General features: G+C 43.6%; 1 protein-coding gene across 9 annotated transcripts in view, besides 2 other annotated features; it reads left to right on the plus strand.

Moving 5' to 3' along the window:
• The window catches only part of OGDH (oxoglutarate dehydrogenase), a 102,440-nt gene that overhangs the window by 3,511 nt on the left and 82,475 nt on the right, over nucleotides 1-16,454 (plus strand). For 5 of the 9 annotated variants that reach the window (NM_001363523.2, NM_001165036.2, NM_001439007.1 and 2 more), the window contains exon 2: nucleotides 14,180-14,428. In NM_001363523.2, the coding sequence (NP_001350452.1) occupies nucleotides 14,207-14,428 (222 nt within the window). In that variant the 5' untranslated portion in view covers nucleotides 14,180-14,206. Of the gene's footprint in view, nucleotides 1-3,714; nucleotides 3,813-8,686; nucleotides 8,798-14,179; nucleotides 14,429-16,454 lie in introns of those variants that run through there. The other 4 variants (NM_001439009.1, XM_011515408.3, NM_001439008.1 and 1 more) reach the window with 2 other exon arrangements.
• Nucleotides 12,518-12,827: an enhancer, noted in NCBI's record as "active region_25947". NCBI's record gives its function as "activates an Ori minimal core promoter by ATAC-STARR-seq in GM12878 lymphoblastoid cells {active_cell/tissue: GM12878}" and the evidence as "EXISTENCE:reporter gene assay evidence [ECO:0000049][PMID:35858748]".
• Nucleotides 13,986-14,045: a silencer, noted in NCBI's record as "silent region_18148". NCBI's record gives its function as "represses an Ori minimal core promoter by ATAC-STARR-seq in GM12878 lymphoblastoid cells {active_cell/tissue: GM12878}" and the evidence as "EXISTENCE:reporter gene assay evidence [ECO:0000049][PMID:35858748]".

Genomic DNA, 16,454 nt, shown 5'->3' on the forward strand with positions numbered 1-16,454 from the left:
TCTGTTCATATCTTTTGTTCATTTCGTAATTAGATTGTTCGGTTTTTGTTAACTGTTGAGCTTTGAGAATTCCTAATGTATTCTAGATACCACTGCTTTGTTGGATATGTAGTTTGCAGATATTTTCTCCTAGTCAGCAGCATGTCTTTTCATCTTGGTTTTTTTTTTGTTTGTTTGTTTGTTTTGTTTTTGAGATGGAGTCTCGTTCTGTCCCCCAGGCTGGAGTGCAGTGGCGTAATCTCTACAACCTCTGCCTCCCAGGTTCAAGCGATTCTTCCGCCTCAGCCTCCTGAGTAGCTGGGATTACAGGCGCTTGCCACCACACCTGGCTAATTTTTGTATTTTTAGTAGAGACGGGGTTTCACCGTGTTGGTCAGGCTGGTCTCGAACTCCTGACCTCGCGATCTGTCCACCTCAGCCTCCCAGAGTGCTGGGATTACAGGCGTGAGCCACTGCTCCTAGCCCTTTTCATCTTTTTGTTTGTTTGTTTGTTTGAGACGGAGTCTTGCTCTGTTGCCCAGGCTGGAGTGCAGTGGTGCAATCTTGGCTCACTGCAACCTCCACCTCCCCGGTTCAAGCCTTTCTCAGCCTCCCAAGTAGCTGGGACTACAGCCGCGTGCCACCACGCCCGGCTAATTCTTTTGTATTTTTAGTAGAGACGGGCTTTTACTGTGTTAGCCAGGATGGTCTGGATCTCCTGACCTCGTGATCGACACCCCCTTGGCCTCCCAAAGTGCTGGGATTACAGGCGTGAGCCACCGCGCTCAGCCCCTTTTCATCTTCTTAACGGGGTCTTTTGCAAAGCAAAAGTTTATAATTTTGATGAGGTCTGGTTTACCAATTTTATCTTTTGTTAGATTGCTTTTGGTGTTGAGTTGAAGAACTCTTTGCCTAGCCCAAATTCCTGAAGATTTTATCATATGTATTTTTCTAAATTTTTTTTTTTTTTTTTTTGGAGACACGGTCTTACTCTGTCACCCCAGGCTGGAGTGCAGTGGCATGATCACAGCTCACCGCAGCCTCAACCTCCTGGGCTCAGGTGATCCGGTGATCCTCACACCTCAGCCTCCTGAGTAGCTAAGAGTACCGGAGTCTGCACCATGCCTGGCTAATTTTTGTATTTTTTGTTTTTTGGTTTTTTGAGACGGAGTCTCGCTCTGTCGCCCAGGCTGGAGTGCTGGAGTGCAGTGGCACGATCTCAGCTCACTGCAACCTCCGCCTTCCGGGTTCATGCCATTCTCCCACCTCAGCCTCCTGAGTAGCTGGGACTACAGGTGCCCGCCACCATGCCCGGCTAATTTTTTTTTTTTGTATTTTTTAGTAGAGACGGGGTTTCACTGTGTTACCCAGGATGGTCTCGATCTCCTGACCTCGTGATCCCCCCCGCCTCGGCCTCCCAAAGTGCTGGGATTACAGGCGTGAGCCACCGTGCCTGGCCTAATTTTTGTATTTTTTGTAGGGACGGGTTTTGCCATGTTGCCCAGACTGGTCTCAAACTCCTGGGGTCAAGCAATCCTCCCACCTTGGCTTCCTGAAGTGCCAGGATTACAGGCGTGAGCCACTGCGCCTGGCCACTTTTATAAAATTTTTAAATTTTACATTTAAATCTATGATTCATTTAGACTTAATTTCTTTTTTCTTTTTTTTTTTATGTTTTCACTTTATGGTACTTTTTGATGAACAGTTTTTAATTTTAATGTAATTGATATAAATTTAGTCTTGTGGCCAGCTTTTTTTGAGTCCTAAAGACTCAAGATCAAATAGATATTCTAAAAGTTTTAATGTTTTTTTTTATTATTATGCTTTAAGTTCTGGGGTACATGTGCACAACATGCAGGTTTGTTACATATGTATACATGTGCCATGTTGGTGTGCTGCACCCATTAACTCGTCATTTACATTAGGTATATCCATTTGGAGTTAATTTCTGTATGTGGTTTAAAGTTTGAGTGTTTTTTGGTTTTTGTGGGGGGTTTTTGCTTATGAATATCTAACCAGCACCGTTTGTTTGAGAAGACTGTTTTTCTTCCATTGAATTGCTTTTGCACTTTCGTCAGAAATCACTTGGCTGTACTTGTGTGACTCTGTTTCTGATTCTCTGTTGCATTCCATTGATCTTTGTGTCTATCCCATCACCAATACCGAGAGTTTTTATTATTGTAGCTCATAAGAAGTCTCAAAATCGGATAGATTGATTTCTCTCACTTCTTTTTCAAAATTGTTTCAGCTAATCTAGTTCTTTTGCCTTTCTTTTTTTTTTCTTGTGACGGAGTCTTACTCTGTTGCCCAGGCTGGAGTGCAATGGGCATGATCTCGGCTCACTGCAACCTCTGCATCCTGGGTTCAAGCGATTCTCCTGCCTCAGACCCCCGAGTAGGTGGGACTACAGGCATGCACCACCACACCCTGCTAATTTTTTTTATTTTTAGTAGAGATGGGGTTTCACCATGTTGGCCAGGCTGGTCTTGAACTCCTGATCTCATGATCCACTCGCCTCGGCCTCCCAAAGTGCTAGGATTACAGGCGTGAGCCACCACGCCTGGCCACCTTTCTTCATTATACTTATTTATTATTTTTGAGGCAGGGTCTTACTCTGTCACCCAGGCTGGAGTAGAGTGGCATTATCACAGCTCACTGCAGCCTCTACTTCCAGGCTCAAGCAATCTTGCTACTTCAGCCTCCTGAGTAGCTGGGACTGCAGGCACGTACCACCACGCCTGGCTGTTTTTTTTCTTTTCTTTTCTTTTCTTTTCTTTTTTTTGAGACGGAGTGTCACTCTGTCGCCCAGGCTGGAGTGCAGTGGCGCGATCTCGGCTCACTGCAACCTCCGCCTCCTGGGTTCAAGCAATTCTCCTGCCTCAGCCTCCTGAGTAGCTGGGACTACAGGCACGTGCCACCAACGTAATTTTTTTGTATTTTTAGTAGAGACAGGGTTTCACCATGTTAGCCAGGATGGTCTCGATCTCCTGACCTCGTGATCCACTTGCCTCTGCCTCCCAAAGTGCTGGGATTACAGGCATGAGCCACTGCGCCTGGCTTGTTTTTGTTTTTGTTTTTTGAGACAGTCTCACTTTGTCGCCCAGGCTGGAATGCAGTGTTGTGATCTCGGCTCACTGCAACCTCTGCCTCCCAGATTCATGTTATTCTCTCACCTCGGCCTCCTGAGTAACTGGGACTATAGGCACCCGCCACCACACCTGGCTGTTTTGTTTGTTTGTTTATTTGTTTGTTTGTTTGTTTTGAGACGGAGTCTCACTCTGTCACCCAGGCTGGAGTGCAGTGATGCGATCTTGGCTCACCGCAAGCTCTGCCACCCAGGTTCACGCCATTCTTCTGCTCAGTCTCCCGAGTAGCTGGGACTATAGGCGCCCACCACCATGCCTGGCTAATTTTTTGTATTTTTAGTAGAGATGGGGTTTCACCGTGTTAGCCAGGATGGTCTCAATCTCCTGGCCTCGTGATCCACCCGTCTCGGCCTCCCAAAGTGCTGGGATTACAGGCGTGAGCCACCACGCCCGGCTATAATTTTTATATTTTTAGTCGAGATGGGGTTTCACCATGTTGGCCAGGCCGTTCTCAAACTCCTGACCTCAAGTCATCTGCCCACATCGGCCTCCCAAAGTGCTGGGATAACAGGTGTGAGCCACTGGGCCCAGCCACCTGGCTTTTTTTTTTTTTTTTTTTTGAAGATGGCATTTTGCTGTTGTTGCACAGGCTGGAGTGCCATGGCGTGATCTCAGCTCACTGCAACCTCCACCTCTCAGGTTCAAGTGATTCTCCTGCCTCAGCCTCCCGAGTAGCTGGGATTACAGGTATGTGCTGCCACTCCCAGCTAATTTTGTATTTTTAGTTGAGACGGGGTTTCTCCATGTTGGTCAGGCTGGTCTGAAACTCCCAAACTCGGGCCATCCGCTCGCCTCGGCCTCCCAAAGTGCTGGGATTACAGGCATGAGCCACGGCACCTGGCCTAGCTGTCTTTTTAAAATTTTTATTTTTTGTAGATATAGGGTCTTGCTCTGTTGCCAAGGCTGGTCTCAAACCCCTAGGCAAGCTATCCTTTCACCTCAGCCTCCCAAAGTGCTGGGATTACAGGCCTTTTTTTTTTTTTTTCTTGTGTATAATGCACCATTTCTCTCTGGCTGCCTTCAAGGTTTTGGTTTTTTTTGTTTTTTTTGTTTGTTTGTTTTTTGTATTGAGTTTTCTGAATTTGTTTATGATGTGTCTTGGTGTGCATTTATTTGGGTTTATTCTTCACGGGGTTCTTTATGCCTTTTGCCAGATTTGGGAGATTTGTAGCCATTATTTCTTTGAATGCTTTTCCAGCCCCTCCTTCTGCCTTCATCAGGGACTCCAATGACATTAATATTAGATCTTTTGTTATTTCCCTGAGGCCTTGTTCTGTCTTCAAGTTCACTGATTTCCTCTGTCTTTATTCTGCCCTTTAACCCATGCTAAAGCTTTTTTCTTTTGCTTAGTGCATTTTTCAGTTCTGAAATGTCTGTTTTGTTCTCTACATCTTCTCTTTGCTGAAACTTTATTTTTCATTTGTTTCAAGCATGTTCATAGTTGCTCGTGGAAGCATTTTGAGGATGCCTCTTTTAGAATCTTTGTCAGATAATTGTAAGTCTACGTCATCTTGGTATTGGTGTCTATAGATTGTCTTTTTTTGTTTGAAATTATCCCGGTTCTTTTGGTTCTTTTTTTTTTTTTTTTTTTTGAGATGAAGTCTCGCTCTGTCGCCCAGGCTGGAGTGCAGTGGCGCGATCTCAGCTCACTGCAACCTCCTGGGTTCAAGCGATTCTCCTGCCTCAGCCTCCCAAGTAGCTGGGATTACAGGCATGTGCCACCATGCCAGGCTAATTTTTGTATTTTTGTAAAGATAGGGCTTCACCATGTTGGCCAGGCTGGTCTTGAATTCCTGACCTCAAGTGATAACACCTACCTCAGCCTCCCAAAGTGCTGGGATTACAGGTATGAGCCACCATGCCCGGACAAGATTATCCTGGCCCTTGGTGTAAAGAGTGATCTTTGACTTGCAACCTGGACATTCTGGGTGTTATGTTATGGACTCTTGATCTTGTTTAAATCTCTAAGCAATGCAGGCTTCCTCTGCTGGGGCAGGGAGGGGCTGCTTCCTCACTGTTGCTGGTGCGGTGTCTGGGGGGAGGGATTCCTTGTTATTGCTGTATGACTGTAAGAGTTCCCCATTAGGCCTTGGTGACATCACCCTGCCTGGGAAGGGAGGGGTGCTGCTTCATTACTGCTGGATGGGATTGAAATCCAGACTCCCTACCTGGTCTCCACTATCTTATCAGGGAGTGAGTTGGAAGGGCTCATTATTCACCAGGTGGGGATGAAAGTCCCTGGTCCCTATTCTGACACCAGCTGAGTGGAGTGAGGATATTTCCTGTGGAATTTGGCCGCAGTAGAGCAATTGTTGTTTAAAACTTTAAAAGTTTTCCATCTTGCTGCTCTTTTCCTGGTCCTTTGGCTAGAGAGAACAGGTTTCTGTTTGTAGTTTTCTTTGTCTACACCTGTTGGCATTTCTGGGTTGTAGGCTTCTCGAGTACCCAGGTCTGAAACACATGAAGCATAAAGAAAATCAAGAACTCAGTGCTCGGCTGGGTGTGGTGGCTCATACCTGTAATCCTAGCACTTTGGGAGTCTGACACTTGAGGTCAGGAGTTCGAGGCCACCCTGGCCAACATGGCAAAACTGTCTCTATAAAAAATACAAAAATTAGCCAGGCATGGTGATGTGCGCCTGTAGTAGTCTCAGCTACTTGGGGGACTGAGGTGGGAGAATCACTTGAGCCTGGGAGGTCCAGGCTGCAGTGAGCCGAGATCACACCACTGCACTCCAGCCTGGGCAACAGAGCAAGACCCTGACAGAAAGAAAAAAAAAAAAAACCTCAATGCTCTTTCTTTGGGTCCTCTGGTTCCTAGCCAGTCTGCTTCCTTCTCTCCACCTTTCACAGTCTTGTTTTGTCTTAAATGTAACGCCTCATGTTTTTAGCTATATTTAGCAGGAAACACGTTTTATATATGCTTTAATGAGATGTTGAAAAATTGTCCTGCTTTCCATAAAGATTTAATAATTTACACTCTATCAATACCTTTTAAAAGTGCCTATTTATCTACACCCTCCCCAGTCAACCTGTTTATACCACATCAGTCATGGGCATCTCAGATGCTGTGGGGCCACGTCTCAGGGAAAGGGCAGAACAGTCTTCAGACCTATATACTGAAGCGTACTCAGGGATCTGATCAGGGAGGTGTCAGTCCCTACCAGTGGTGACCACCCATGATTGGTGAGCTAAATAGGCTTCTGTGCTAAATGATGGAGACAGCCTACTAATGTTTTGGAAGTTACCAGTTGACCGCCACTCCAAATTAGCTAATGTTTAGGTTTAAATATCTTGGAAACTTGAACTTTTTATATCACTAGTTTGCCTTTTTTCCTAGGCTACATATATATATGTATATATATATACACATGTTTATGTATATATACACATATATATACGTATATACGTATATATACACATATGTATATGTATATATATACACACATGTTTATGTATATATACACATATATACGTATATAAGTGTATATGTGTATATATATACACGTATATGTGTATATGCATATATATATGTGTATATATATGCATATATACGTATATATGTGTATATATACACATATACGTGTATATATATACACATATATATATACGTATATATATATGTATATATGTGAGCCGAGATCGCGCCACTGCACTCCATCCTGGACGACAGAGCGAGACTCCTTTCGGAGCTCTGGAGTCTCACTCTGTCGTCCAGGCTGGAGTGCAGTGGCGCGATCTCGGCTCACAGTAACCACCTCCCGGGTTCAAGCAATTCTCCTGCCTCAGCCTCCCAAGTAGCTGGACTACAGGCACCCGCCACAATGCACAGCTAATTTTTTTGTAGTTTTAGTAGAGGCGGGGTTTCAGCATGTTGGCCAGGCTGGTCTCAAACTCCTGATCTCAGGTGATCCACCCACCTCGACCTCCCAAAGTGCTGGGATTACAGGCATGAACCACCATACCCAACCATTTCTTTAGTCATAGATATACCTTCAAGTTTTCAAAGTGCTTTCATATTTGTGTTACAATTACAAAAAGACATTATGAGGGGGTTAGGAGTAATTACTGTCTCCACTTTATGGCCCAGGAAAGCTCACACAGTGACTTGGTGTCACGTGGTCTCTGTTGGCCCAGGAAAGCTCACACAGTGACTTGGTGTCACACGGTCTCTGTACCTGCAGGCTCAACAATTGTTTCCATCTAGCAATGAAAAAAAACTTTACAGTTTAAAAGTAATCCTCACTACTTCCCTCAGCTTATATGTAATGAGGTGTCACTAGTGAAAGATAATAAATTCTTTGAGATTCTCAGCCAATAAGGGAGAATTGATATCTGTACTCTGTACATGAGTTCTTTGTATTACTACTAAAACAAAAATAATTGCAGGCATGAGACAACAGCCATAGGTCTGTAGCAAATGTGTTCATGATTCATCAGAAGAATTGAGTCTGAAACTGAAAAAAAGAAAGTGGATGAGTTGTCCTTTAAAATGGTTGCCAGCTAACACTCATAGGGTTTAAGGATCATGTAATGATGTGTGGGTTTTTTTCCCTCAAAGACTTATTTACTGAGAAACAGCAGACTGTTTTTGCTAGGTCTTGCCTTTTTAATCACCCCCCTACCTAGCCAATGTCATATTGATAGGCGTCAGTAGTTGGTTTATTTCCCTCATTCTTTGTGCCCTGGGATAGGGTACCTCCTACCCAACTGGGGAAATTCGAGGCATAGACCTCGAAGGCTTCATATTTCAGACAGAACCCTATTTAAGTATATCGTTTCCTAAGGGCAGGGCGTTTAACACCTAAAAACTAATTTTCCTTTGGTTTTTACTTTTTTTCTTTGTACAACTTATTTTTCCCAAATGTATGTGTTTATTTTTGCATCTTGAAATTAATGGATTACAACTTGTATCATTTTTGTGTACAGTGATAAGTTCAGTTACATTTTTTCTTACACATTAAAAAAATAACTTTATTGAGACATAATTCACATACCATACAATTCACTCATTTAAATTGTAAGGTGAATGTTTTTCAGTATATTAGAGGGTTGTGACACCATCAGCACAATCTAGTTTTAGAGCATTTTCATCCTCTCCTCCCAAAAAGAAAGCCCTATGTCCATTGAGTTACTCCTCATCCTTCCCTCATTTCTCTGCCCCAGCCCCAGGCAACCACTAATCTACTTTCTCTCTGTATAGATTTGCCTATTCTGGAATGTGATATTATTATCGTATATGGGTTTTTGTCCATGATTCCTGGTTCCATAGTTCTTGTTATTTCCTAAGTAACTAAAATAAGCATGTATTTTGTTAAAGTATTTCTCCTTGGTTCCTGAAGTAGCTTCCAAACAGCTTCAGAGTGATAAAGGTGGAAGTCTTTTGTTACAATGTTGGGGTGCTTTAGGCCCCAGAAACAGGCCTGTGGCACTCCTTTCACCTGCTGCTTTTTCTCCCCAAGGGAGGCCATAGAAACTAAAAATATACTCTAATATTCCTCCACTGTTCTGTCTTGGAGCCGGCAATAAAGAAATTCTCTGACCTACCTTGTCTGATTGTAGGTCACAAGACACCCACTTCAGGAGTCCTGCCTCACACCCACAGGAAGGAATCCTGCACAGAGAGGCCAAGAAGAATCTGAACAAACAGGCCTGGCTGGGTTTCCCCACTCGGTCTGTTGGTATTAGATCATACCCTTTTTGCCTGATCACCTATCTACATGGTTATCTATGCTTCAGTCATGCATATCCAATGAAGTCTCCATAAAAGGCCCAAGAGGATGGGGTACGGAGAGCTTCTGGATAGCTGAACATGTGGAGATTCCTGGAGGGTGGCATGCCTGGGGAGGGTATGGAAGCCTCCTTACCCCATCCTACACCTTGACCTGTGCAACTCTTAATCCACATCCTATGTTATATTCTTTGAAAAAAACAGTAGATGTAAGTAAGTGTTTCCTGAAATTTATTGAACCAAAGGAGGGGGTCATGGGATCTCCAGTTTCTAGCTGGTTGGCCAGAAGTACAAGTAAGACAACTGGGGGCTTGCGATTGACATCGGAAGTAGGAGGCAGCCTTGTGGGATTGAGCCCTTGACCTGTGGTATCTGATGCTGTCTCCAGGTAGGTAGCAGCAGAATTGAATTGCTTATTGGTAGGGAGAATTCCCCACACATTTAGTCACAGAAATCTTCTGTGTTGGTTGTTGTGTGAGAGCAGAGGAATAGACTCATAATATGTCTTTTGCGTCTGCTGCTTTTTACTGAGCATAATGTTTTCAAGGTTCCTCCAGGTTGGAGCATGCACCAGCACTTCCTTAGTTTCATTGCAGAATGCTGTTATATTCTATAGATATAACACGTTTTGCTTATCCATTCGTCAGTGATGGACATTTGAGTTGTTTCTACTGTTGTTTCTACTGTTTCAACTGTTGTTGCTCATAGCAACAATAATGCTGCTATGAGCATTTGTGTACAAGTTTTTTTTGTGGACATACATTTTCATTTCTCTTGATTATATATCTAGGAGTGTAATTGCTGTGTTATATGGTGACTTTATGTGTTTATTGGCTGTTAGTATATCTTCTTTGGACAAATATCTATTCAAATCCTTTACCTATTTTTTGATTGGGTTGTCTTTTTACTGTTGCATTATGAGAGTTCTTTATATATTCTGTATATAAGTTCCTTATCAGATAATTGCAAATATTTTCTCCCATCTATATCATTTCTTTCTTAATAAGTTCTTTGAAGCACAAAAATTTTTTGTTTTGTTTTGTTTTGAGACAGAGTCTCGCTCTGTCACTCAGGCTGGAGTGCGGTGGTGCGATCTCAGCTCACTGCAACCTCTGTCTCCTGGGTTCAAGGGATTCTCCTGTCTCAGCCTCCCAAGCAGCTGGGACTACAGGCATGCATGACCATGCCCAGCTAATTTTTGTATTTTTAGTAGAAACGGCGTTTCGCCATGTTAGCTAGGCTGGTCTCGAACCCCTGACCTCAAGTGATCCGCCTGCCTCAGCCTCCTAAAGCACTGAGATTACAGGCGTGAGCTACCGCTCCTGGCCAGATTTTTTATTTTGATGAAATCCAATTTGTGGTTTTTATTTTGTTGTTTATACTTGTGGTGTCATAACTAAGAATACATTGCTTGAATCAAGGTTACAAAGATTTACTTCATGGAAGTTATAAAACTTCTAAGTATCTTATAGTTTTGTCTCTTACATTCAGGTCTTTGATCCATTTTGAATTTTGTTTGTATATGTCTATGCAACTTCATTCCTCTTTAGACGTGGAACTCTAGTTGTCCCAGCACCTTCAGTTGAAAAGACTGTTCTTTTCCCTGCTGAATGGAGTTGGCACCCATTTAAATAGAAATATTCTTTTAAAGCAAGCTTGTCCAACTCCCAGCCCGTGGGCCACATGTGGCCCAGGACAGCTTTGAATGTGGCCCAACACAAGTTTGTAAACTTTGTTAAAACATTATGAGATGTTTTTGCGATTTTTTTTTTTTTAAAGCTCATCAGCTGTCGTTAGTGTTAGTGTATTTTATGTGTGGCCCTAGACAATTCTTCCAATGTGGCCCAGGGAAGCCAAAATATTGGACATCCCTGTTTTAAACCAAAAATCAAAACACTTGGATATTTTGGACAGCTCAGAGGAGCTTTCACAAAAATTGTTTAAACAATTGAATGTCTCTACCAAATAACGTACTATTCTTAAAGTTGACTTAGTGTCAGTTACAGAATTCTAAGTTGAATTTCAAGACCTAATGTTGACTGGCTGGCAGTTTTCCTTCTTTTTGTATTTAATATATTTTGTTTGTTTGTTTGTTTTTAGAGATAGGGTCTCGCTCTGTCACCCAGGCTGGAGTGGAGTGGCACGATCATAGCTTACTGAAGCCTTGACCTCCTGGGCTCAGGCTATCCTTCCACCTCAGCCTCCGGGGTAGCTGGTACTACAGACATGTGCCACCACACCCTGATAGCTTTTAAATTTTTTGTGGAGATGTGGTTTCACTATGTTGCCCGGGCTGGTCTCAAACTCCTGGCCTCAAACAATCCTTAAGCCTTGGCACCCCAAAGTGCTAGGATTATAGGCATGAGCCACCGTGCTTGGCTTTTAATATCTTCTTATGCCGTTTTATGTAAGAGAGAAAGGTGAAGAATGGGTATTTACCAGAATTAGAAATGTGCGTTAGTGTTGGCTCTGTCGTTCTGTCAAAGTGTGGACAGCAAATAGCTGTCCTGGCCGTTCCTGGGTGGAGTTGGGGATGTTGAGCCATCTGCTGAAGGGCAGCTCTTCCCGTGAGTCATCTTAAGGGAAGTTTAAAAATCTCAGCTGGGTGTGGTGGCTCACGCCTGTAATACCAGCACTTTGGGAGGCTGAGGTGGGCAGATCATGAGGTCAGGAGTTTGAGACCAGCCTGGCCAACATAATGAAACCCTGTCTCTACTAAAAATACAAAAATTAACCAGGTGTGATGGCATGCACCTGTAGTCCTAGCTACTCGGGAGGCTGAGGCAGGGGAATTGCTTGAACCTGGGATGGGAGGTTGCACTGAGCCGAGATCACACCACTGCACTCCAGCCTGGACTACAGAGCAAGACTCCGTATCAAAAAAAAAAAATCTCCAGCTGTTGTGGCAGCTCTGCTGGGCAGCACTTAACTATGTGTCAGATTCAGTGACTGCGGATAGCAAAATGTCATGATTTACTTAAACAGGATCATGTGGAAGGGGCCACTTTGGGAAGAACAGATGAAATTGGTGTTTTACGATTGTCAGTTCAGTGCCTGTTAATTGGGCTATTGCAGCAACTGAATACTGATAGTTAATGAGGTGATGCTATTGTTTTCTGGGAGAAAACCCAACTCAGAGGCAATTGGGTATTTAATATTGCCTTAATAATGACATTAAAGGAAAAAAATGAACATTTTCCTTTGAGCCTGAGAAATTAAAAAAAAAATAGCATAAAATGAAGCAACAGTAGTATTTTTGCTGTCAATGTTAGGGCTGTTTGTCTTCCTTAAATATATCAGTGGAAAAACTTGGAGTGTAGTTGGAGGTAGGAAGAACTACCGAATTAACTTAAAACTTTTGATTTCTAAAGTGAAAACCCAGGGGTAAAGATTGCATTCCCTAATTATATCCAGAATATATTGCTTGTTTACCTTTAATTTGTAAGGAGCAAGTTTTTGTTTGTTGTTCAGTTTGTTTTTAAAGAATATGTTCTGCTGTTTACTTTTGCTGACCTATCTCTTCTCAGTGGAGCAGGCCAGAGGTGAATGCAGGACACTCTAAGCCCTCTCTCTTGGTGTCCCTTAAGTGTATTCTGAGCATATTTGGGCCAAGAGGAAGTTTCTGATAAATAATATAGAAGATATTTTTATGTAACAGTTATTTCTGGGTAATTCACACTATGTTTCAGAGCTTGGATTTTCTTCGGGTAGGTGTGGACATGGAGTGTAGTTCTAACTTTACAACCAGAGCACCTGCTTTGAGACAAATTCATGAGCAACCATGTAGGCCAGCAAGCACCTTTTTTTCCACAGGCAGCGTCCTTGTGAACTTTCCGCTTGGATCCTGACTCTGCTGTTAGTAGCCTATGACCTTGGATGAAATGTAAGGGAATAGAAACTGAAGCTATCTGTAAAGTGAAAGAGCTGGTGCCTGCCTTATTGGGAGCCTCTGGGTTTATGTATGAGTCAGATGCGTAGAGTTGCTCACCATGGAGGGCCCAGGGTAGGCAGGCATTATTGAACAACTGCTCCATGTGCTCTTTTCAATCTTTGCAGACCCCACCCACGTCTCCCTTGCTCAGACCTGGCTCCCCATGGCTTATGAAAGGGGGCTGAGTGCAGAAGGTGGCAGGCAGGACACTGGACAACCCTCTGTGGCTTTTCCTTACCCTTCGTAGTACCATGAGATTCTGGCTCTTCCCGTCTCTGTGTTTCTGCCTATGGGTCCTTCCACATGCAGTGCCTCGTCTTCCCTCCTTCCCATCCATGTCCTTTTGTCTTCAGGCACACCCACTTGGAAGGAGCCCATCCTCTCACAGGGTCTGCTGGCATATTCTGCACCTCTCAAGTACTCATATTTCCTCTGCAATCTTTTCTATGTTGTTTTTCCTCTGCTCAAGGGTAAATTGAGAGTAAGGAAAGTATTTTTCTAATTTCTTTGTATTTTCCATAATATTGTAAGTACAGCAGGTACTCAGTAGTTTCTGGACAGATTAGAAAATGTTTTACTTATTCTCCAATTAATCCTAATCCTAATTCTAAATTAATTAATCCTTGTTGCCTTTCTTCTAATTGTTTTATATATATGTAATATGTAAATTTAAAGAACATCGTATGTTTATCATCTTAGCCCTTAAACTAGATTTAATGGTTTTTTGTTTTGTTTTGTTTTGAGACAGAGTCTCACTCTGTTGCTAGGCTGGAGTGCAGTGGTGCAATCTCGGCTCACTGCAGCCTCCACCTACCAGGTTCAAGCAATTCTCCTGCCTCAGCCTCCCAAGTATCTGGGTCTACAGGCATGCACCACCACACCCAGCTAATTTTTGTATTTTTAGTAGAGATGTGGTTTCACCATGTTGGCCAGGATGGTCTTGATCTCCTGACCTCGTGATCCACCCGCCTTGGCCTCCCAAAGTGCTGGGATTACAGGTGTGAGCCACCGAGTCTGGCCTAGATTTAAATTTTTAAGTGAAGATGGTAATATCTGCAACTGTGCACTCACCTTCCTTGGGCTCGCACAGGCATCCTGTGTTAGTAGGTGCAAGAGTGTGTTTCAGTTTCACACAGTCACAGCTCTGTTGTGCTCTCAGGCACATGAACTGGTGGCACTGAGCAGGTAGCACTCTTGTGAATACATTTATAGGCCAGGGTCTTTCTCCTCAACAATTAGAGTTGAACATGTTTTGTTTTTGTTTTTGTTTTTCTAGTAGCTTTTAAAAAAAAATTATCCTTTCTCTAGAGCATCAGGATCTAGTAGCCTTGTCTCCTAAATACTCATTTTTAAAACCTTTCTTTCTTGTTTTTTTTTTTTTTTTTTTGTACAGGCAGTTGTGAAAAACTTCAGGACAAAAATGTTTCATTTAAGGACTTGTGCTGCTAAGTTGAGGCCATTGACGGCTTCCCAGACTGTTAAGACATTTTCACAAAACAGACCAGCAGCAGCTAGGACATTTCAACAGATTCGGTGCTATTCTGCACCTGTTGCTGCTGAGCCCTTTCTCAGTGGGACTAGTTCGAACTATGTGGAGGAGATGTACTGTGCTTGGCTGGAAAACCCCAAAAGTGTACATAAGGTAAGGCTCGCAGGGCTGTGGGTCTGCCTCATGTTGGTGTGTTGGCCTGTTCCTGACTGGTCACCAGGTAAGTGTGTGCGTCCTGAGGAGTCAGCGGGCAGACAGGCAGCTGGAGCGCCATACCAACCACCGTATCTGTATCGGACCCAGCATAGCCCCAGCAGAAGCCATGGTCCCTGGATTGGCGTCCAGCAGTAGACACTGTGCTTAACTCTGCGAGGATGTGAAGAAGCATGTGTGTGACCCTCCAGCATCTCCGCAAGGGCTGCTTCAGGATGAAGCCGCTGAAGAAAGAAGAAAGAAAGAAAGTGTGTGGAAAAGAGCAGGACCTCAGGAAGCTCCTCCATTCTAACTGTCTGGAGAGGATACTTTCATTTGTAACATGCCGTAGTCACCTCATGTAATTTCTGTATGAATGGCCTTTTAGCTCATTATGTTCGTATTTTTTTCCTGTTTGTTTCTAACTTCTCTGTATTACATATAAGGGCATTTTCTAAACTTTTCACCACATGATTACTGATGTAAGTCATGTCTTGTTTTTTTTGGTTTGTTTTTGTTTTTGTTTGTTTTGTTTTGTTTCAGACAGAGTCCCACTGTTGTCCAGGCTGGAGTGCAGTGGCGGGATCTCGGCTTGCTGCAACCTCCGACTCCTGGGTTCAAGTGATTCTTATGCCTCAGCCTCCCGAGTAACTGGGACTACAGGTGCACGTCACCACGCCTGACTAGTTTTTGTATTTTTAGTAGAGATGGGATTTTACTTTGTTGGCCAGGCTGGTCTTGAACCCCTGGCCTCAAGTGATCCACCCACCTTGGCCTCCCAAAGTGCTGGGATTACAGGTATGATCAACCACGCCTGGCCATGTCATGCCTTGTGACAGAATTCCTTTATTCTGTTTTGAGCCAATAAATATTTATAGGTTTTGATAACCATTCCTTGATTTTCAGGGAAAGCAGCCAGCCTCCTGAAGGAATTGGGAAGACAGTGTAGTATAGTAATAAGAGGGTAGGTCCCAGCGTTTCTAAGCTCCTGTGCCTCATCTGTAGGTGGTTGAGAGAATGAAAGGAGGTAGCATGAGCAGGGCACTCAGCTCGGAGGCAGTGCCTAGCCAACATTGCTTATCTTCACTGTGAATTTGGCTTTTTTCCTACTCTTGAATCTTGGGGGCTTATCACCAAAAGGAAGTCTGCTTCCACTGGGCTCCTGTAAACAAGCTTTCCCTTTAAGTATTAGTGACACTTACGAATTTTTTTTTTTAATTTAGCTAGGTGTGGTGGCACATGCCTGCAGTTCTAGCTACTCCACAGGCTGAGGTGGGAGGATTGCTGAAGCCCAGGAATTCGAGGTTACAGTGCGCTGTGATGGTGCCACTGCACTCCATCCTGGGCAACAGAGGGAGACCCTGTCTCTAAAATTTAAAAGAAGGTGGGGGGCGGGTATATTCCCATGACTGCTGGGCCACCAGGTCCCATTTTTTCAGGAATGCCACTTTGTCTCAGCCTTATTGCCCAGATCTAGCCCAGTCCTTCCCTGTTTCCATGGCAACCTGGGAGCAGCCTTGCTTACTGGGCAAGGTGAGACCTGGTTTTCTGTAAGAAATCTGTAGTTTATTTCCCTAGTCTGTAAACAAATTGCCCAGAAGAAGTGCTCTGTGAAACTGGCCCCTGCTTTTGATGTGATATCATGGATGTTACTGAAGACTGTGGTTGCAGATTGTGGCAGATTTCACACACACACACCCCTACACACACACACACACACACACACACCCCTACACACACACACACACACACACACCCCTACACCTGCAGATTATATCTAGAATAAAACTGAGCCCTGAGGTTTCAGAATCAAGGACTATTATGTGCCCAGGCCTATTCTTTTGCCTTCCTTTTCTCAAACATAACCTTTTCTTGGAACCAACCAAGTTGTTTTCAGTGATGTTAGGATTTGGAGTCAGTAGCTCCTAAATGACAGTGCCTAGTGTCTGAAAGGTAAAGAGCACCTGGCTGAGACTGCATGTCCTTG

Source organism: Homo sapiens, chromosome 7 (assembly GCF_000001405.40).
Source record: "Homo sapiens chromosome 7, GRCh38.p14 Primary Assembly".
Classification (NCBI taxonomy): domain Eukaryota; kingdom Metazoa; phylum Chordata; class Mammalia; order Primates; family Hominidae; genus Homo; species Homo sapiens.